At 48.8% G+C, this 21434-nt stretch overlaps 1 protein-coding gene across 2 annotated transcripts in view, besides 3 other annotated features; it reads right to left on the bottom strand.

Annotated features, from left to right (window-relative positions):
- Positions 2109-2309: a silencer, noted in NCBI's record as "peak4207 fragment used in MPRA reporter construct". NCBI's record gives its function as "represses an SCP1 promoter by STARR-seq MPRAs in K562 erythroleukemia cells {active_cell/tissue: K562}" and the evidence as "EXISTENCE:reporter gene assay evidence [ECO:0000049][PMID:32103011]".
- VSTM2L (V-set and transmembrane domain containing 2 like) overlaps positions 11672-21434 on the bottom strand; it is a 42224-nt gene continuing 32461 nt past the window's right edge. For both annotated transcript variants that reach the window (NM_080607.3, XM_011528530.2), the window contains one exon: positions 11672-13041. In NM_080607.3, coding sequence (NP_542174.1) covers positions 12769-13041 — 273 coding nt within the window. In that variant the 3' untranslated portion in view covers positions 11672-12768. The remainder of the gene's footprint in view (positions 13042-21434) is intronic.
- Positions 16113-16613: an enhancer, noted in NCBI's record as "H3K4me1 hESC enhancer chr20:36568811-36569311 (GRCh37/hg19 assembly coordinates)". NCBI's record gives its function as "activates a minimal SCP1, AML or CMV promoter by ChIP-STARR-seq in naive H9 embryonic stem cells {active_cell/tissue: H9 hESC(naive)}" and the evidence as "EXISTENCE:reporter gene assay evidence [ECO:0000049][PMID:30033119]".
- Positions 16614-17114: an enhancer, noted in NCBI's record as "H3K4me1 hESC enhancer chr20:36568310-36568810 (GRCh37/hg19 assembly coordinates)". NCBI's record gives its function as "activates a minimal SCP1, AML or CMV promoter by ChIP-STARR-seq in naive H9 embryonic stem cells {active_cell/tissue: H9 hESC(naive)}" and the evidence as "EXISTENCE:reporter gene assay evidence [ECO:0000049][PMID:30033119]".

Raw genomic sequence — 21434 nt, 5'->3', positions numbered from 1 at the left:
TGTTACAGGAACAAATATGCTTCTTTATTAGCATGTTAAATAAAATCTAGCAGCTGATCTAATAACTATAATTTTGAAGCAGCAATGAGTGTAAACAATACTGTGAGATACCTGCAACAAATGTTTTGTGATATGAAAAAATATTTCACTTCTTTTGGTGACAAAATCACAAGTACTGCTAATGCAACTATGATTTGTTCCTTACATTCATAAGAGAAGCAAATGCTAAATTTCAGTTAAATGTTAGTGAAAATAAAGGTGTAGCTTCTTTTCCTTCTCCCCCATCCAAGTTTGTGAATCCTATGCATTCCATCCACAGACTCCTTGGTTGAGGTAGTCTGTGGACTGCATGTTAAGAGCCCCTGGCTTAGACCAATCAAGATACACACGCTGAGAGACTAGGCAAGTCTTTTCTGAGACAAGTGGTCTGAAAAGAGTGAAAAAAACCTAAACTAATGGGACTAAATCAAGAAGAAAAAAAAAAAAGAGGAGGAGAGGAGGAGAGGAGGAGAAGGAAAAAAAAAGAATTAGGATTGGGGAGAGGGTGGGAGAGGCTGGAGGCAAAGTAGGACATAGCTCCAGGGTCTGCTCTAGGTCGGGTCAGCAAGGGCTGTTTTCAGAAGGAAAATGCATCTCATCCCTGAAGGGAGAGACATTGTCAAAGGGACTCAGACACCAGATGGTGCACATACTAGGATTCCTGCCAACCCTGGCATTCTTTCATTTCCCCCATTTTATTTACTTTTGTTTCCCGATTGGTTCTCTTTAAATATTTATAGATGTTTCAAGTTACAGATGTAATCCTTGCCCTTTACAAATAGCCTCCTAGGATGTATGTATTTCTTCTATCCCACTTCTCAGAAATGACCACAGTGCTCAGCGTGGAGTCTGTCTTTTCCAGTCACTTGTTATGCACAAGTGATTTCCAATACCTCACAAACTTTAGCATGAAGGAAACTTATCATTAATGGCCAGGCACAGTGGCTCACGCCTGTAATCCCAGCACTTTGGGAGGCTGAGGCGGGAGGATCACATGAGGTCAGGAGTTTGAGACCAGCCTGGCCAACATGGTGAAACCCCCTCTCTACTACAAATACAATAATTAGCCAGGCGTGGTGTTGTGAACCTATAATCCCAGCTACTTGGGAGGCTGCGGCAGGAGAATCACTTGAAACCGGGAAGCAGAGGTTGCAGTGAGCTGAGATTGCACCATTGCACTCCAGCCTGGGCAACAAGAGTGGGACTCCATCTCAAAATAAATAAATTAATTAATTTTAAAAAAGAAACTTATCATTAATGCAGATCCCCCAGGCCCTGCTCGTCCCACTCCCCATGCTGGTAAATGAGAGCAGCCTCACTGTGCTAGATGCTGAGCTCCGTGTCCCCTCAAATTCTCCAGGGAAACCGAAGTTCAAATGGGAGGAAGTGGATCAAATGCCATATACCTCAAAGGTGGCAGAGCTGGGATTCGAACCCATGTCTATCAGACCCCAAAGCCCCTGCTCTAAATGTTATACCTGTTGGCTTCCAGGGCTACACCTGAAGGTGACTAAGGCAAAGTACTGAGTTTCATTCCAAAAATGTTTTCCTTTTGTCTGGAAGGTGGTGGTGGGGTGGGGTTGAGGTGGGGAGTACAGACATAGTCCTAGAACCTGGCTTAAATGGTGCCAGCTTGAAATGAACATTCATACTGAAGTGTTTGTGTGCCTCATCAATCGGGTTTGAGTCTCCTAAAACATTCACAAGAGACTCCAGAAGTATATTCAAAGTCAGCATTACAAACAAAAGAAGCATTCTCATTAAAGTTAAAAGCAAGACAAAGATGTTCTAAAGCAGTTCTATCATTTAACATTGTCTTGGAGATACTGGCCAATTCAATTAGTCCAAAGAAAGAAATAAAAAGTATATAGATTTGGAAAGAAATGAGGGAGATCATCTTGCTTGCAGATATCAGGTACCTGGTGGGGGAGGGAGGAATCAAGTGAAAACCAGTGCAAGCAATACTGAGTCAATAAAGTGGCCGATACGTAAGCTAAAATACAGAAGCCAATAGCCTTCACAGTTATACAAAGAACAATTAGTTAGACCACGGACCGGTACCAGTTTGTGACCTGTTAGGAACCGGGCCATATAGCAGGAGGTGAGCAGCAGGCAAGTGAGCATTATCGCCTGAGCTCCGCCTCCTGTCAGATCAGCAGGGGCATTAGAGTCTCATAGGAGCGTGAACCCTATTGTGAACTGCGCATGTAAGAGATCTGGGTTGCGTGCTCCTTATGAGAACTGAATGCCTGATGATCTGAGCTGGAAGAGTTTTATCCCCAAACCATACCCCACCCCGTGCCCCACCACCCGGTCCACGGAAAAATTATTTTCCAAGAAACCGGTCACTGGTGCCAAAATGGTTGGGGACTGCTGAGTTAGAAGACATAATAGAAGAAAACAGTTAATTATAATAGTAACAACAAAAAGTATTTAGGAATTAATTCAACAAAAATATGCAGGGTGTCACCCACAAGACCACCAGGATGGCTAAATAGGAAGGAAAGCTTTATTGGTGATATCAGTTTGCATACCAGGAAGAGAAAGTCTCTAGCACAGGCCAAAGGTGCCCTCTCTTCAAAGAGGAGAAGTACGGGTTGGGTTTTACGACTCACAGTGCTGGTATTGTACATATTCAGCAGGTTTAGGGGAAAAGCTGTACGTATTTATGAGGGGAGCCGAGTGCATGCATAATGGGTAAGCATACATATAACATACATCCCATGTTCACTTTAGGGTGGGTTGTTTGTTTGTTTGAGATGGAGTCTCGCTCTGTCACCCAGACTGGAGTGTAGTGGCGTGCTCACTGCAACCTCCGCCTCCCAGGTTCAGGCAATTCTCCTGCCTCAGCCTCCCGAGTAGCTGGGATTTCAGGGGCCCGCCACCACGCTGGCTAATTTTTGTATTTTTGGTAGGACAGGGTTTCACCATGTTGGCCAGGCTGGTCTTGAACTCCTGATCTCAAGTGATCTGACCACCTTAGCCTCTCAAAGTGCTGGGATTACAGGTGTGAGCCATCGCACCCGGCTAGGGTGGGTTTTAGCATGAAAAGGAAGTGGAATGTGGCTCTGTTTATCAAAAGATGAAGTATAGGACACAAAGACAGTATGTTTCTGTGTTTGTTTGTTTGTTTTTTGACATAGCATCTTTCTCTGTCGCCAGGCCGTAGTGCAGCGGCGCGATCTCAGCTCACTGCTACCTCCGCCTCCCGGGTTCAAGCAATTCTCCTGCCTCAGCCTCCCGAGTAGCTGGGACTACAGGCGCCCGCCACCATGCTCCGCTAATTTTTGTATTTTTAGTAGAGATGTGGTTTTACCATGTTGGCCAGGATGGTCCCGATCTCCTGACCTTGTGATTCACCCGCTTCGGCCTCCCAAAGTGCTGGGATTACAGGCGTGAGCCACCGCGCCCTGCCTGTTTCTGTATTTTAACTTATGTGTCCAGCCACTGTATTGAATTTGTATTGCTTGTACTGGTTTTTCACCTGATTCCTCCTTCCCCCACCAGGTACATGGTATCTGCAGCCTCTATAAACTGCTGAAACTGGCTTAAGGTCTGCAGTTGCTTATCAGAAGATAATGATTGTAAGCTGGGTGCTATGGCTTACGCCTGTAATCCCAGCACTATGGGAGGCCAAGACGGGCGGATCACTTGAGCTCAGGAGTTTGAGACCAGTCTGGCCAACATGGCGAAACCCCATCTCTACGAAAATCACAAAAATTAGCCAGGCTTGGTGGCACAGGCCTGTAATCCCAGCTAACTTGGGAGGCTGAGGCAGGAGAATCTCTTGAACCTGGGAGGTGGAAGTTGCAGTAAGCCGAGATTGTGCCACTGCACTCCAGCCTGGGTGACAGAGCAAAACCCTGTCTCAAAAAACAAAAAACAAAAAACAAAAAATGAATGATTGTAAAGCAGATCCTCTGTCCAGTCAGAGTTGCAGTGGTCTGGGTTGTAAATCAGAACTGATAGCTCCGTTAGTTAGGCAGTTTAGCCATAGGAATTTAAAATTTTGCCAGGCCAGCCAGCCCCTGAACCCTCAACCCCTAAGTAACTGTTTCCTTAACCTTTGGGTGCGTCTTAGTTGATGAAGGGGCGCATCACAAAGGGCGATAGGAAGAAAACTTCTAAATGCTCTCTCCTCTGCATCATCTTATAAAAAATTTTAAACATGCATAAAAGTTGAAATAATTTGGTAGAGAGAACATTCTTATACTCACCATTTTGATTCTAAAATTAACATTTTCTATATTCCACACATACTGTCTATTATCAATCCATACCTCTATCACATATCTATGCGTATCTACTGCCCTCTAGTCATGCAAAAATTTATCTTATTTTTAAAATACTCTTTGGAGAAGCACAAAAATGAAGTCTTGTTTTTTTTTTTTTTGAGAGGGAGTCTTGCTCTGTCACCCAGAAAGCAATGGCATGATCTCGGCTCACTGCAACCTCCGCCTCCCGGGTTCAAGCGATTCTTTCACCTCAGCCTCCCAAGTAGCTGGGATTACAGGTACCTGCCATCGTGCCTGGCTAATTTTTGTATTTTTACAGAGACTGGTTTTCACTATGTTGGCCAGGCTGGTCTTGAACTCCTGACCTCAGGTGATCCACCTGCCTTGGCCTCCCAAAGTTCTGGAATTACAGGCATGAGCCACCGCGCCCAGCCAAGAAGTCTTAAAATAAGAGGGAGTACCAAGGAGGAGAATGTTGAGACAACATAGAAAGACATTGTTATAGGCCAGGCATGGTGGTTCACACTTATAATCCCAGTACTTTGGGAAGCTGAGGCAGGCAGATCACTTGAGCTCAGCAGTTTGAGACCAACCTGGCCAACAGGTGAAATGCCAGGTGTGGTGGCAGGTGCCTGTAATCCCAGCTACTCAGGCGGCTGAGGCAGGAAAATGGCTTGAATCTGGGAGGTGGAAGTTGCAGTGAGCCAAGATCACGCCACTGCACTTCAGCCTAAGTGACAGGGTGAGACTCCATCTCAAAAGAAAAAAAAAAAAGACATTGTCATAAATATATAAGTTTTTCCTGTGTTAATTTATGAATTAACATGATCCCAACTGAAATGACAATTTTTTAAGTGGATAAGATTATTCTAGTTCACATGGAAAAGCAAAGATGAATCCAGGCAAGTTGTGGAAATAAAAATTAAACAGAAAGTGGAGTCAAAAACAGCCTTAAAATGTATTAAAATAAGTTATAAAACTATAATAATTTAAACAGTGTGGTACTGACCTATGAATGAGATCAAAGGAGTAGGAAAGAAAGTTGAGAAGTAGTCCATTTATGTGGGAGCTTGGAATATAATAATGGTAGCATTTCAAATCAGTGGGGAAAAAATAAATCATGCCAAGATGAGATAGAAAAAGTTTAAAATCTAGAAAACAATAAAATTGGGTCCCCCCTCATACCTTAAAACAATTTCAATTCCTGAAGGATCAAATTTACATTTATATAAATGAAAGGAAACACAGAAATGATAAAATGGAAGATTAATATGTACAAACTACTTAACAATTAAAAACATTTACTTGACAAATACAAAAAGACACTGTAAACAAAGCCAAAAGACCAAAAAAAAAAAAAAAGTTTTCAATTCATCTCAGTAGGAACTCCTACAAATCAATAAGATGGCAATCAACAAGCCAGTAAAAAGATTATGAGGTGTCAGTTCACAGAAAATGGAGCACATGTGGTTTGGTTCTTAAACAAGCAAAAAGATGGCCAATCTCACTCCCAGGAGAAATGTAAATTGAAACCACTGTAAGATTCCATTTTAGGCCTGGCGCAGTGGCTCACGCCTGTAATCCCAGCACTTTGGGAGGCGGAGGTGGGCGGATCACCTGAGGTCGGGAGTTCGAGACCAGACTGACCAACATGGAGAAACCCCATTTCTACTAAAAATACAAAATTAGCCAGGCGTGGTGGCACATGCCTGTAGTCCTAGCTACTTGAGAGGTTGAGGCAGGAGAATCGCTTGAACCAGGGAGGTGGAGGTTGAGGTGAGCTGAGATCACGCCACTGCACTCCAGCCTGGACAACAAGAGTGAAACTCCGTCTCAAAAAAAAAAAAAGATTCCATTTTAACCAACAGAGAGCTGCACCAACATGTTTGATTCTGGGGTTGAAGAGACTGGGGGAGTCAGGGATTAGGTGCACATTCTCACATATATCTTGTAGGAGTATAAATTGGCCCTGCATCTGTAGAGAGTAATTTGGCAATATTGACCAAGATTTAAAATGCACAAGTTGGCCGGGTGCCGTGGTTCAAGCTCATAACAAGTTATTCTCATAACAAGAGTAATATTGTCCAGTTACTCTTGGTTGATATTGCCAAATTGCCAAAGACCAGCCTGGGCAACATAGTAAGACCCCTTCTCTACAAAAAATCAAAAAATTAGCTGGGGATGGTGACACATGCCTGTGGTCCCAGCTACTCAGGAGGCTGAGGTGGGAGGACTGCTTGAGCTCAGGAGGTTGAGGTTGCAGTGAGCTGTGATTACACCACTGCACTCTAGTCTGGGTGACGGAGCAAGACCCTGTCCCCTCAAAAACTTAAACGTTAAAAATGAAATGCATGACTCTTTGACTCAGCAATGTAACTTCTAGATATTTATCCTACAAACATATTTGCATATGTATGAACAGATTTATCATCTACGAAATTCACTGCAACATTGTTTATAATAGGGCAAGATTGGAAACAAGCTGAATGTTCATTATTTGGGGACTGGCTAAATGGATCATCATTCATCTATGTAATGGGTGATATTAGTTTGGACATTTGGCCCTTCCAAATCTCATGTTGAAATATCATCCCCAGTGTGGGAGGTGGGGCCAGGTGGGAGGTGTTTGGGTCATTGGGGCACATCCCTTATGAATGGCTTGGTGCTGTCCTTGCAAGGGTGAGTTCCTGTGAAATCTGGGTGTTTAAAAATGTGGGCACCTCCCCACTCGCTCTCTTGCTCCTGCTGTTGCCACATGACGTGCCTGCTTCTGCTTCACCTTCCGCCATGATTGGAAGCTTCCTGAGCCCCTCACCAGAAACCAAGATGATGTTGGTGCTATGCTTATAAGCCCTGCAAAACTGTGAGCCAGTTAAACCTCTTTTCTTTTTATAAATCATCCAGTCTCGAGTATTTCTTTATGGCAATGCAAGAACAGCCTAATAAAATGGAATATTCTATAGCAATTAAAAATTCCACGTGGAACCATCACCAAGATGTATTGTCATCTTGAGGGCCACTAGTTAACTATAGGTGCTGGCAGGTGGGAGTCTGAAGGCCAAGATGGGGTCTGGACATCTGAACTTAAAACAAGCACCCCCCGGCCCATGCTATTCTTATGCTGGGCACAAAGGGGAAAGCGGCCCACAGCTACTCTGGAGGTGCACTGAGGTTTTTCTGAGCCTTCTGAATAGGGCCTGGGGACTCCCTTTAAGAAATTCCTTCCCCCAGCCGGGTGCGGTGGCTTACACCTGTAATCCCAGCACTTGGGAAGCCAAAGTGGGTGGATTACTTGAGGTCAGGAGTTCGAGACCACCCTGGCCAATAGAGTGAAACCCTGTCTCTACTAAAAATACAAAAATTAGCCAGTTGTGCCTGTAATCCCAGCTACTCAGGAGGCTGAGGCAGGAGAATCGCTTGAACCCGGGAAGTGGAGGTTGCTGTGAGCCAAGATCACACCATCCCAGTCCAGCCTGGGTGTTTCAGCAAGACTCCATCTCAAAAACCAAACAAAAAAGGAATTCCCTCCCCCAGCTCATGTTTCTCTACCGCTCCCATCTCCACTCCCACCAGCTGCGCCTTGAGGACAGGCAGACTTCGCTCTGGCTTCACGTAAAGATCACGGCAAGGTTAATAGAAGCCAGAATTCCCTAAGCGTCTCCCCATGTCCGATGTGGGCACTGTGGTCAGGAGCATCTTGTTTCATTTAGAATCTTTATTTGGATATCATTCACGTCCCACACAGTTCACCCACTTAGAGTGTGCGTTCAATGGCTTTTTCTATATTCACACAGTTGTGCAACCATCACCACAATCAATTTTAGAACATTTCCATCACCCCCAAAAGAAACTCACACCCATTAGCAGTCACTTCCCACTCTCCTCTCCCTTAGTCCCAGGCAATTACCAATGTGATTTCCATCTCTGTGGATTTGCCTATTCTGGGCATTTCATATAAATGGAATCACACAATATGTGGCCTTTTGTGTCTGGTTGCTTTCGCTTAGCACCGTGTTTTCAAGGCTCAGCCACAGTGTAGCATGTAGTGTCAGAATGTCACTCCTTTTTATTGCCAGATAATATTCCATCGTCTGGATATACCACTTTTTTTTTTTTTTTTTTTTGAGACGGAGTCTCACTCTGTCTCCAGGCTGGAGTGCAGTGGGGTGATCTTGGCTCACTGCAGCCTCCAACTCCCTGGTTTAAGCGATTCTCCTGCCTCAGCCTCCCTCTCCTGCCTCAGCCTCAGCAATTCTTCTCCTTCTGAGTAGCTGGGGTTACAGGTGTGCACCACCACATCTGGCTAATTTTTGTATTTTTAGTGGCAACAGAGTTTCACCATGTTGGCCAGGATAGTCTTGATCTCCTGACCTCGTGATCCGCCCACCTCGGCCTCCCAAAGTGCTGGGATTACAGGCGTGAGCTACTACACCCAGGCTGATATACCACATTTTATTTAGCCATCCATTATTTGATGGACATGGGGGTTGTTTCCATTTCTTGGCTATTATGGATAATGCTGCTATAAACATTCAGGCACAGGTTTTTATGTGGTCACGTGTCTTCAGTCCTCTTGGGCTGATACCTAGGAGCGGAATTGCTCAGTCACTTGGTAACTCTATGATTAACCTTGAGAGGAGCGCCAGACTGTTTTCCAAAGCAGCTACATCCTTTTATATTCCCACCAGCAGTGCATGAGGGTTCCAATGTCTCCACATCCTCGCCAGTACTTGTTAGTGTTTGTCTTTTTTATTCCAGCCGTCCTCATGTGTGTGAAGTGGTAACACATTGTGGTTTTGATTTGCACTTCCCCAGGAGCATCCCCATGGTACAGAACAGGGAACTGAGGCTCAGAGAGGTGAAGAGCCCTGCCTGCAGCCATGGGGCAAAGATGGGCAGAAGCAGGATTCTAACCCAGGCACCTTCTTCTTCTTTTGTCTGTCTTCCCAGTGGAACAAGAAAAATCCCTCTAAGGAGGTTGGGGGGACCCCTCTATGGGAGTAAAATGGCCAGGGATGGGACAAAGACCCTTGGGAGGGTTGGATGAGACCCTGTGGAATATCAGAACTTCCTGTGGAAAGCCCTTCACTAGTGCCTGGTGCATAGGAGGTGCTCAGGGCTGGTGAGTATTGTTATCACTCTAGCATGACATAGATCCTCCCACACCCTCCTAGAGGGACCTGGGCCTTCCAGAACCAGCCTTGTATGTGGAGATTTCTGGAAGAGACCATATTCATTGAGTTCAGGCTAGCCAGTGGCCTGAGAGGACCACAGGTCATAAGACCATCTATCCCTGGCATACCTGGATTCTGCTGCAGGAGCAGAGTCCTGACTACTTCATAGCCTGGTTATTATTCATGTCCTCATCCATCCATCATCTATCTATCCATCTATTCTCCAGCCCACCCTTCTCTGAACCTCATTGTCCTCATCTGAAGACAGAGGATGCAAGGCCTGCTTCAGGGCTACTGTGGTGATCAGCACAGGGCCGGGACACGGGGCCCAGGGCCAAGGTCAATCATCATTTCAACAGTTCCCAATCTCCAAGGGGTGCCTGTGGTTTCTGCATGTTGCAGAGCAAGGACCAGATGGCTACTCTGGCTATGAGGGCTTGACCTGAGAGCCCCAGGTGGACACATCCTCAGGCAGATTCTCAGCAGGACCATAGTGGGTGGGACACTCGGCTAGAATAAGCCAAAGGGAGTCAAGAGCCCAGGGTGTAGTATGGGATGGCAGGGACCGGGGAGGTGGTCCAGACCTGGCAGAAACAAGACAAACAGACTTTACGGCTAAGGGAGGTCTGAGTTCAACAACTCTGTGACTTTGGGCAAGCTACTTAACCTCTCTGAGCCTGTTTCCTCAACTGGAATAAGGGGTTGTTGATACTTCATAAGAGAAAATGAGATGCCAAAGTAAAGTGCCTAAGCCTCTGACCTGATAAATCCACTAGGAGAATCTCAGGCTCATGTGCACCAGGAGATCCTGACCAGTGTGCTCACAGCAGTGTTGTTGGTAAGTCATAGTACCCAGTCGGGAACACACTCCAATTCTTGTCAGCAATACAATGGATAAGTAAGTTGATAGATGGTGAGATAGTCATACAGTGAAATATTATACAGCAATAAAGGTGAACAAATTACAGACACATGCAGCAACACAGATGAATCTCACAAATATAAGACATGAGAAATACAGTATGATTCTGTGCATATGCAGGTCAGACAATGGAGGAAACTCACATACATTGTTTAAAATGACATACACAGGGGAGGGCAGGGGAGGGGGAGAACAGTGGGAAAATAGCTCATGCATGCCAAGCTTAATACCTAGGTGATGGGTTGATAGGTGCAGTAAGCCACCATGGCACACATTCACCTATATAACACACCTGCACATCCTGCACATGCACCCCGGAACTTAAAATAAAAAATAAATACAAGGACATACACATAGGTAGTAAGACTACAAAAAGAACATTAAGAATGGGATTATCAGCTGGGCACAGTGGCTCACACCTGTAATCCCAGCACTTTGGGAGGCTGAGGCAGGTGAATCATTTGAGGTCAGGAATTTGAGACCAGCCTGACCAACATGGCGAAACCCCAGTTCTACTAAAAATACAAAAAAACAAAAAAACAAAAAAAACTGCTGGGCACAGTGGCTCACGCCTGTAATCCCAGCACTTTGGGAGGCTGAGGCGGGCAGATCACGACGTCAGGAGATTGAGACCATCCTGGCTAATGTGGCGAAACCCTGGCTCTAATAAAAATACAAAAAAATTAGCCAGGTGTGGTGGCACATGCCTATAGTTCCAGCTACTCGGGAGGCTGAGGCAGGAGAATCACTTGAACCCAGGAGATGGAGGTTGCAGTGAACCGAGACTGCACCACTGCACTCCAGCTTGGGTTGCAGAGCGAAACTCCGTCTCAAAAACAAAAAAAAAAAAGAATGAGATTACCTTAACTGTGGGGACAGTGGCTGCCTCTAAGAGGGAGGAGAAGGGATAGATGGAAATGACACATCAGGCTTGGGGAGGTTCTCTTTTGGGGTGCTATGTTTGGTAGGTAGTGGCTACACAAGTATTTGCTTTACATTATTTACAAAACTGTGTAAACATGTTTTATGCAGTCTTCTCTGTAGGTGATTATCTCAGAAGCAAAGAATAATTTGAGTGCCTGGTAACAGGATTGGAGCTGAACAAAAGCTGGTTGTCTCCCACCCTCTCCCTCTGCCCCCACCGGTCCTGTGCTCTGCACTGCAAAGCCAGGCGCTGCTTGGGGTGCAAAGCAGGAGAGAGATGCTGAGTGAGGCGTGGGTGTGAGCTAGCCACCTGCTCTCCTGCCTCCACCCCACACACCCCCCAGGCACAAATGCCCCAGAAAGACACTGCCCAGAGGTTTTTTTAAAACCGCTTTATTCAGGTTGGCTGGTAGTCACAGACTGGATCATGTATACAGGGCAACCCACCCCTAGGCAAAGCCCTCGGCCTCTCCCACCTCCCCCACGTCATCACTGAGCTGCGGCAGCCAGAGGTGCCAGCCAATTCCGAGGAGAATTGGGTCCAATAGAAATATTTACAAATAACCAGGGGGCAGGTGTGCCCGTGATCGGGAATCGTGAGGGAACTGAGTACCAGGGGGCCCTTGGCTCCCAACAGCCCCAGGCCCTGGGGCGGACTTGGCACAGGACCCAAGAGGGAGCTGGGGCATTGGGGGGCCGGCAGAGGGGGACTCCTGGGAGAGCCTTGAAGGCCCTCAAAGGGGTCCTGCTGGTGCAAAACTCTGCCTGGGGCCATGGGTCCGAGGGAAAGGCCCCTCCCTTCTGACTCGCCGTGTGACAGGGCAGAGAATCCTGGATCCCCTGCATCCCTGGAGGGTCGCACAGGGAGCTGAACAGGAAGGACTCGCCAGGAGGTGGTGGGGCATCTCGCTGTTCCCCTAGGCCTCCATGAGTGACCCTGCAGAGCCACTGCCCCAGAAGGGCCCTCCTGGGTTCCCTGGGTCTTCACCAGGGGAGAGGCCCTAGTTCTGCTCAGAAGATTCAAGTCCATATTCAGGGAGGGGTCACTGTCCACACCCCCAGGTCCAAGTGAGGGATGGTAGGAGGAGGGAGGCGAGGCTGGGGGGCCCCGGCTCAGGACAGGATGGGGGACAAGCAAGCAAAGCAAAACACTGGACTCCACAGAAGCTGGTGACAGGAAGGGGGTGGCCCCGGGCCCCAGCATGGTCCCTGCCCCAGTGTTCAGGGCGGTTGGCCCCTTGGTGCCCAGGGCCACCTTCTCCGAGCCAGGTCACCGCAGGGGTCTGAAAGGGCAGGGGTGGGTGGGGCTTACATGCTGAGCAAGGGGTGGTGGAAAGAGGGCCGACATGGTGGCCACAGGCGGCCTCGGGGATGGGGCGCGGCTGGACGCAGGCAGTCGGTCCCCGGTGGTCCGGCGGCTCCTCATGCACTCTGTACAGCGTGGGGGCGGATGGGCGGGGGCAGGGGCATCAGTCTAGAGGCTGCAGGCCTCCTGGTCCACCGAGCGCTTCCTCAGCTCCTTGCCTGGCTTGGGGGGCGGCGGGGCGGGCGCGGCGGGAGGGGCTTCGGGCAGATGCAGGACGGAGTTCTCCCCTGGCTGCACCCGCAGGTAGGCCTTGACCTTGTGGTGCCGGGCCTTGCCGTCGCTGAAGTCGATGACGCGGCACTCGTAGGTGCCTTCGTCCGTGGGCTTCACCCGGGACAGGCGCAGCTTGTGGGAGATGTTGCTGCCCACCACCTTGACCACCTGGGGGTGACAGAGAGACCGTGACCTGTCCATCCAGTGACAGTGGGGGAGAAGAAGAGTCGGGGGGGGGGGTCCCAAGATCGCATGCTAGGACGGGAGCCCCAGAAACACTCCCACAAGGGCCCACCGAGGTTTGCACAAGAGTGAGTTAAATAGCAAAAAAGTAAAAGCAACTGCCATGTCCACCAACAGACCACATAACTAAGCAGTGGCCGGTTCCCTGCATGAAGCACTGCAGAGTGGTCCGAAAGACGGAGCTAGAACTAGGCACGTGAGCTCAGTGGCAAACAGCAGAGGGAAAGCTCTCACTGCTGCCCACCCCCAGGGGATGCCATTTATGTAAACAAACACAGACACCTACTCTATACTGGTTTTGGGGTCTTCCGGGTGTGGAAGTTTAAAATAGACAGGAGGGAACAACGGGGCCTCCTCACAGCAGTGGTAGACCCTAGGGCAGAACACAGGGGAGGAAGTGGACCTGGTGTAGGCTACAAAGCAAAGTCTTCGTTTAGTCTGAAAGTTTACATTTCCTAAAAAAAAAAAAAAAAAAAAATAGAGGCGCCTGCAGTCCCAGCTACTCAGGAGACTGAGGTGCGAGGACTGTTTGAGCCCAGGAGTTTGAGGCTTGCAGTGAGCCGTGATTGCACCACTGCACTCCAGCCTAGGTGACAGAGTGAGACCGGTCTTTTAAAAACCAAACCAGGCCAAGTGCGGTGGCTCATGCCTGGAATCCCAGCACTTTGGGAGGCCGAGGGAGGCGGATCACTTGAAGTCAGGAGTTTGAGACCTGGGCATGTTGCCTGGGCAACATGGGGAAACCCCATCTCTACTAAAAATACAAAAACTAGCCGGGGGTGTGGTGGTGCATGCCGGTAATCCCAGCTACTCGTGAGACTGAGGCACGAAAATCACTTGAACAACCCAGGAGGCGGAGGTTGCAGTGAGCTGAGATCGCACCACTGCACTCCAGCCTGGGCGACAGCGCGAGACTCCGTCTCAAAAAAATAAATAAATAAAATAAAATAACATAATAAAAAACAAAACAAAACAATATAAAGGCTGACGACAAATATATCAGGATGCTAATAACTATTCACTCCACTTGGGGGGAGCAAGGATGTTTGTTATATTCGTCTTTGTACTTTGACTTTTTGTTTTATTTGGTTGGGTTTTTACATTTCTATTTTAAAATGGGAGTATTACTTATGTAGAGTAAAGTGCACACAGCCTGAGGAAATGTTTCCTGTGTGTACACCTGTGTAACCACCATCCAGAGCAAAGCATGGAACACTCGTGACCCCCTAGAGCACACCCTTCACTGAGCAATACTCCCCCTCTGGGGTCCCCCGCTTTCTGACTGACTTCTATCACCATAGATTCGTTTTTTTCTGTTTTGGAACTCTTGTATGGGTGGCTTCTTTCCTGTGCCTGGCTTTTTCGACACAACCTGTTATCGGTGAGATTTCTCCATGTTGCTGCCTGCATCTATTTGTTTGTTTGTTTGAGACAGAGTCTCTGTTACCCAGGCTGGAGTGCAGTGGCACGATCTTAGCTCACTGCAACCTCCACCTCCTGGGTTCAAGCAGTTCTCATGCCTCAGCCTCCCCAGTAGCTGGGATTACAGGCACCCGCCACCATGCTCAGCTAATTTTTGTATTTTTAGTTGAAATGGGGTTTCACCATGTTGGCCAGGCTGGTCCCGAACTCCTGGCCTCAAGTGATCAACCCACCTCAGCCTCCCGAAGTGCCAGGATTATAGGTGTAAGCCACCATGCCCAGCCATCCATTTGTTCTTTTTCATTGCTGTATAGTATTCCATCACATGCATACTGCACGATTTGTTTATGTGATCACCGTCGATGGACATTTATGTGATTTCCAGATTAAAGCTCTTATGAATAAATCTGCCCTGAATATAAAGTTGCTGTGGGTGTTTTTTCAATTAAAAAAGAAAAAGCAGATGGACAGTTACATAAGATACACCACTGGGGAAGCTGGCTGATGGGTACAGGAGACTTAATGACCTATTTTTGAAACTTTTCCTGAGACTATAACTCAAAATAAAAGATTAAAAAAAAAAAAAAAGGAGTTGGGCCTATGGAGAGGGGTGGTGGTGGTGGGAGGGGGCTTCTTTCCTTTCCTGGCCCCTTCTTCTTAGAAAAAAAAAAAAACCTTCCTGCAGCCCCTGTCCTGCCTGGACAGAACAGTGGAGATCAGTTCTCAGCTGCCAGCCACTGACCCCCTTCCCAGACAGCTTTGTAGGCTCAGGTGAGTGGGCCTCAGACCTGTGGACTACTGGTCTGTCTCTTCTGGAGGGACAACGAGCTGGCCTGTTCCTGCCAAGCCCCAGCTCCTAGAGAAGGAAGCCCAACTTCTGGCTCCAGGTGGGATGCCCCTGCTGGTCACCCCTGCAGTGAGGGGGCCAGGATGAGAAAGTGCGCCCTCTGCATGCAGCCTGCAGATGTTTCTGAGCCTGTGCTGGGCACTCACACGTGTGACTTCTAATCGTCTTACCAATCTGCCCTGGGGAGGGCTCTTTCGTCAACACCCCAATGGGAAACTCTTGCTGACCTCACGGCCTTTGCGCGTGCTGGGCCCTCTGCCTGGGTGGGGTTCCCTGTTCATCTTCACCTGCCTGGTTCCCATTCATCCTAAATGTCACCTCCTCCAAGAAATTGACCCCCTGTCCCCACTCCCTCCTATTTCCTGCATAGCAGTCTTCTCATTTTGAACCGTGTATTTGTCTGTTGACTTGATTTTGGGTTCTCTCCCTGGCTAAACCGTACCCTCCATGAGAGCAGGGACAATATTTATTTTGTCCATGTGAGTGGTTATCACAGAGCCCAGCACTCCGTAAATAATCATCAACATTTGTTGAATGCAGGGACCCACCCCATGACCTTCTTTCTCCAACTGAAGTCATACTCAGATGTCTTGCTTTCTAATTGTAAGTCACATGCGCATGATGATATGGTTTGGCTCTGTGTCCCCACCCAAATCTCATCTCAAAGTGTAATCCCCACATGTTGAGGGCGGGGCCTGGTGGGAGGTGAGTGGATCATGGGGACAGTTTTCTCCATGCTGTTCTCGTGATAGTGAGTGAGTTCTCACAAGATGTGATGGTTTAAAAGTAGCAGTTTCCCCTTCGTTCACTCTTCTCCTGCCAACACGTAAGACATGCCTTGCTTCCCTTTAGCCTTACACCATAATTCTAAGTTTTCTGAGGCCTCCCCAGCCATGCAGAACGTTGAGCCAATTTAACCTCTTTTCTTTGTGAATTACCTAGTCTCTGGTAGTTCTTTATAGCAGGGTGAATACACATAACGATATCCACTTTGCAGATGGTGAAACTGAAGCTCCAAAAGAAGTGACTTGCCCAGAGGCATGGAGTCAGTGAGTGGCGGAACTGGGAACAGGCTCCATGCGCTCTCACCCTTCCAGTGGTGTGACAGGCTCACCGAGGGCCACCAGTGCTGGCAGGGCCACAGGGAAGGGAAGAAGAGAGTGTCCAGCAGCAGGGAGCCTGATCTTCCTCCCTCATGCTGAGCCTTCCCTGCTGCCCATCGTCCCCTACGTGGAGGGAAAGCCTTCAGCAGAGGCACGGAGGTGGGACCCAGGCAGGACTTCCCCATGGCAAGCAGTGGGAAACCCTCCCAGCTGCCCCTCTGGCTGTGGGGGTGCCCCCTCCCTAGTGCCAGGCCCTGCTGGAGCCCACCCTGTCCCTCTGACTCCATCACCTCCACCCTGTGGTCCTGTGTGCTCTCTCTGGCGAGTTAGGAGATGCTGTTGCAAATGCGCAGCGGGAGCGAATTACCTCAACATCTGCTTCCCTCACGGATATTAATTATCCTTCATTTGTCAACCCTACAAGGCGCTAATGGAGTAATAATCCAAAGTGCTGGGAGCACTCGCTCCTAGGGAGGGAGCACCAAGCGAGGCCCAGCCCTCGGCCCACCCACTCCCATCCCCTAGATGGGGCCACGAAGGCCTGGACGGCTCCCCAGGCAGCCAGCTCCCTCCTCCCTGTCACCCCCTCTGCCAAGAGACAGATGTGGCCTTCAGGAACACGAGCTCTTCCTCTCTCAGAGAGGAGGAGGGCAGGGAGCACCGCAGGGAGGGATGGGAGGCCAGGCGCTGACCGTGACAAGTCACCAGCACTCTGGCCTCGGTTTTCTTGGGCTAAATTTGTCCGTTCATTCAACAAGCACTTAGCGAGTGCCTACCACAATGGGCCAGCCAGATCCTGGTAATGCTGGCACGAGCTGACAGTCTAACGGAGAACCTAGACCCCTAACCCATAATCAAGCAACTCAGCGAGTGAACTTCCAACAGGATGAAGGGCAAGGACACATGTCAGACACGACTCCCTCCCAGTCCCTGTGGTCCATGCCTCTAAGCACAATCTGGAGAAGGCAAATACGATATTTTTAATAAAAATAATAACAGCAACAGTAGTGCCAGTGGCTAATGTTTATGAAGTGCCTGATCACTGTGAGATGATGTGATAAGTTTCATCAATCTTTCTTTCTTTCTTTCGTTCTTTCTTTCTTTTTCTTTTTTTTGAGACAGGGTCTCGTTCTGTCACCTTAGGCTGGAGTGCCCTGGCGTGATCATGGCTCACTGCAGCCTCAGCCTCCTGGGCTCAAGCAATCCTCCCGCTTCAGCACCCCCTCCGACCTCCTGAGTAGCTGTGGCCACAGGTGCGCACCACCACTCCTGGCCAATTTTTGTATCTTTCTGTGGAGATGGGGTCTTACTATGTTGCCAAAGCTGGTCTTGAACTCCTGGGCTCAAGCAATCCTCCTGCCTCGGCCTCCCAAAGTGCTGGGATTCTAAGCGTGAGCCACCGCGCCCAGCCAAGCTTCATCACTCTTATTTAAACCTCACAATAACCCTATGATGCAGGTGAAGAAACTGAGACTCAGAGAGGTGAAGCGATTTTCTCAAGGTCACCCAGCTGGTGACAGAGGCCACACCTTACCCACCCCTCTGGGAGCCTTCTGAACAATAAACTACAGATCGGTCTTCTCATGTCTTTCCGAGGCCCCCAATCCTCCATGTCTTGGGAAAACCCAGCCCCAAACCTCATCAGAGGCCTCTCCCACGGGAGGGGGCCCAATATCCCACTCCAGGAGCAGCCCGTTGGATTTCATCCACCACACATTATGCAGAAAGCCCTTCAGCCCAGCCCTCCAGGGCGACTGGAGAGCCCACGAAGAAAGGGACCCCCGCATGGCGACCCAGCTGTAAATCATAATCACCTCCGCACAGGCATCGACAGGCCTTAGCAGTGCAATTAAGCACCTAGTTACGCTGAAAGAGACAAGGCCGAACCCTGGCCAGGGCCAAGTTCAGCCTCCTCCCTGCTTGCCCCACAGCTCAGGCTTTTCCGGGCACTGCAGGGATACTCCGAGGCCAGCTCACATTGGGCAGGCTGGGATCGTCTTCCAGCCACGCCAGAAGAATGGATTTGTACTCGTGATGCCAACCCTTGCCTTCACGTGGCCTCCTGGCAGAGGTGGAGGCCCCAGGGAAGGTGCTGGGGTGAGGAATAGGGGTCAGATGCCTCCTGCCCCAGGCTGGGCCCTGCAATCAGCCTCTATCAGCTCCACCCAGCACTTCGCTGGCCCCTCAGCATGTTCAGAACCCAACTCAGGTTCTCCCCAGACCTGGGCCCCAGAAGGCCTTACTGCTGTAGCCAAACTCTGCAATCACCATTTCTGTTTTCTTTCTGCACTCTGCACACTCCACCCCTGAACCCACTGACCTCCTCTAAACACCACTGGACCCCTTCCCCTTCTCTCCAGAATCCACATCCCTCAGCACTGGCAAAAGCAAGGTCCAGGGCTTCTCCCACCCAGGCCATCACCCCAGCCTCCTCCCAGATCTACACAACCTTCCAGCCTCTTCTTCCACAACAGCCAGACCAATTTTTTCAAAATGTCCCTAACTTAAACTCTTTGATGGTCCCCACGGTGGCTGACAAGGCCCTTTGAGGTCTCATCCCGGCCTGCCCCTCAGCCTCATCGGCCACTAGCAATTCCTCCAGTGCACACACCCAGCCAAGTTCCCCACCCTTTGTCAAATCCTCCACACCTCAGTGCTCACTTCAAATAGCACCTCCTCCAGGAAGCCCTCCTGGCCCCCCAGGCTAGATCAGATACCCCATTATGGCAGCTCTCCTCATTTTGGTCACAGTTGTAATTGTATTTTTTATCATGCATGATTATTGGATTAACACCCGTCTCTCACAGTGGACTGAGAGCACCCAGAGGGCAGGAGTGTGTATGTGTGAGACCATGGTCTTTCCAGAGTCATCTTGGTTTAACTCAGCTTCCAACCACGAGCGATTTACAGTGATGAAGTCCCCCAGGAAGGAGGGTATTTGTGGAGAATTTCACCTTGTCTTAAAATTAGGAAGTTGTGGACTATCTTGGTTTGCAAAACTGGTTAAGGGGAAAATTAACCTCAATTTTAGCACAAATGACTTTAGTTAGATCGAAAGAAAAACTTCCAGAACTTGAAAATGGCCAATAAGCAGAAATGTTTGCCTGAGCCATGGAAATGATTCCACCTAATGGTGGAATCCTTAGCAGATGCAAGCTACCAAGGGAGATATTTTTAGGCCAGGGTCCTTCCCTGGGCCCAAGTTAAACGAGATAATTCATATAAAGTGCTCGTCATGGCTCCTAACATATGGTAAGCACTCAATAAATGTTAGCTGCTATATTATTATTATCATTATTATTTTATTACAGATGCCTGTCCTCCCACGTAAATGATCTCCTTATGAGAGCAGTGGTGCGATCTCGGCTCACTGCAGCCTCTGCCTCCTGGGTTCAAGCGATTTTCCCATCTCAGCCTCCCAAGTATCTGGGACTGCAGGCGTGCACCACCACACCTGGCTAATTTTTGTATTTTTAGTAGAGACGGGGTGTCACTGTGTTGGCCAGGCTTGTCACGAACTCCTGACCTCGGATGATCCGCCCACCTTGGCTTCCCAAAGCGCTGGGATTACAGGTGTGCACTGCGCCCAGCATCTGATTTTTTTTTTTTATTCCCTTGCCCACATCCTGCTCGCTTGCTAGGAATAGGAGTTTTACGAGTCACAAATTCACGTTAACAAGTTTCCACCCTAGGAACCACTGTCACTCACATAGCCTAATCCATGGCACTTTACAGTTTCCAAAGCGTTTTCATATATGCCTTCAACAACAGCTAACTGAGGAAAAGGGAGAGTCGAGGAGGTGGCAGAGCTGGAACCAGGACTCAGCTCCTGGGACACTAAATGCTGGCCCCACTGTGTCCTCACGGTCCCCGCCTGGCAGTCAGCACAGCCGACTCTTAGAGTCTGAATCTTCACAAGGCTAACATGGCCACCCAGGCAGGTTCACGAAGCCCTCCCCGCACCAAGCCCCTGGAAGCTGACAGCACTTTCTTACCCTCAACCTTGGACCATTATTATTTGATCACATATGCCTGTCCTCTGACGTAAATGATCTCCCTATGAGATTCTGGGATTCCACCAGCCTGTAGACTGCACTATTTGGCTTAGACAGTGTTTTTCAAAAGATCTAATTAGGTCCCAACAGTTAAGACTCAGGAGACATTCCACTAAAATCGGGATTTTTAGAAGTCATGGGAATATGGGGCCTAGGTCCCTGCCTGGCTCAGCTGTTCCCTGTAGACACAGGGTCTGGGTTTCCCGGGCCCCCGCAGGAGCTCTTTCACTCGTTCACGTCATGTCACCGGTACGCATATGTGAACAGACATGGGATCCACACCAACCAGGCGCGGTGCCTCATGCCTGTAATCCCAACACTTTGGGATGCTGAGGCAGGAGGATCACCTGAGGTCAGTAGTTCGAGACCAGCCTGGTCAACATGGTGAAACCCTGTCTCTACTAAAAATACAAAAAAAAAAAAAAAATTAGCTAGGTATGGTGGCCTGTTCCTATATTCCCAGCTACTGGGGAAGCTGAAGCAGGAGAATTTCTCGAACTCAGGAGGCGGAGGTTGCAATGAGCCAAGATCTCGCCACTGCACTCCAGCCTGGGTGACAACAGTGAAACTCCATCTCAAAAAAAAAAAAAAAAATCTGTGTATGGGTTCACACACACATTGGCCTGGGCGTATGTCTGTGTGTGTGATAATTATTCAACAAATATTTATTGGGTACCTACTACACCATGCCAGGCTCTGTGCTAGACTCTGGAAATGCAACAGTGAGTCAGGCAGGCTCAGTCCCAGCACCCCTCATCTCTAGGGGAGACAGTCATGAAGCAAAAACTCACACAAGCGGATAACGACAACCAGAAATACAGCCAGCAGGGAAATGGGAGGGGCGCCAGCTGGGTCACAAGTTCAAGGGACGCTTCCCCAAGCTGAGCTCCG

This window comes from Homo sapiens, chromosome 20, assembly GCF_000001405.40.
Source record: "Homo sapiens chromosome 20, GRCh38.p14 Primary Assembly".
NCBI classification, from domain to species: domain Eukaryota; kingdom Metazoa; phylum Chordata; class Mammalia; order Primates; family Hominidae; genus Homo; species Homo sapiens.
Note: the sequence above shows the minus strand (reverse complement) of the source record. Positions and strands in the feature narration are given on the sequence as shown.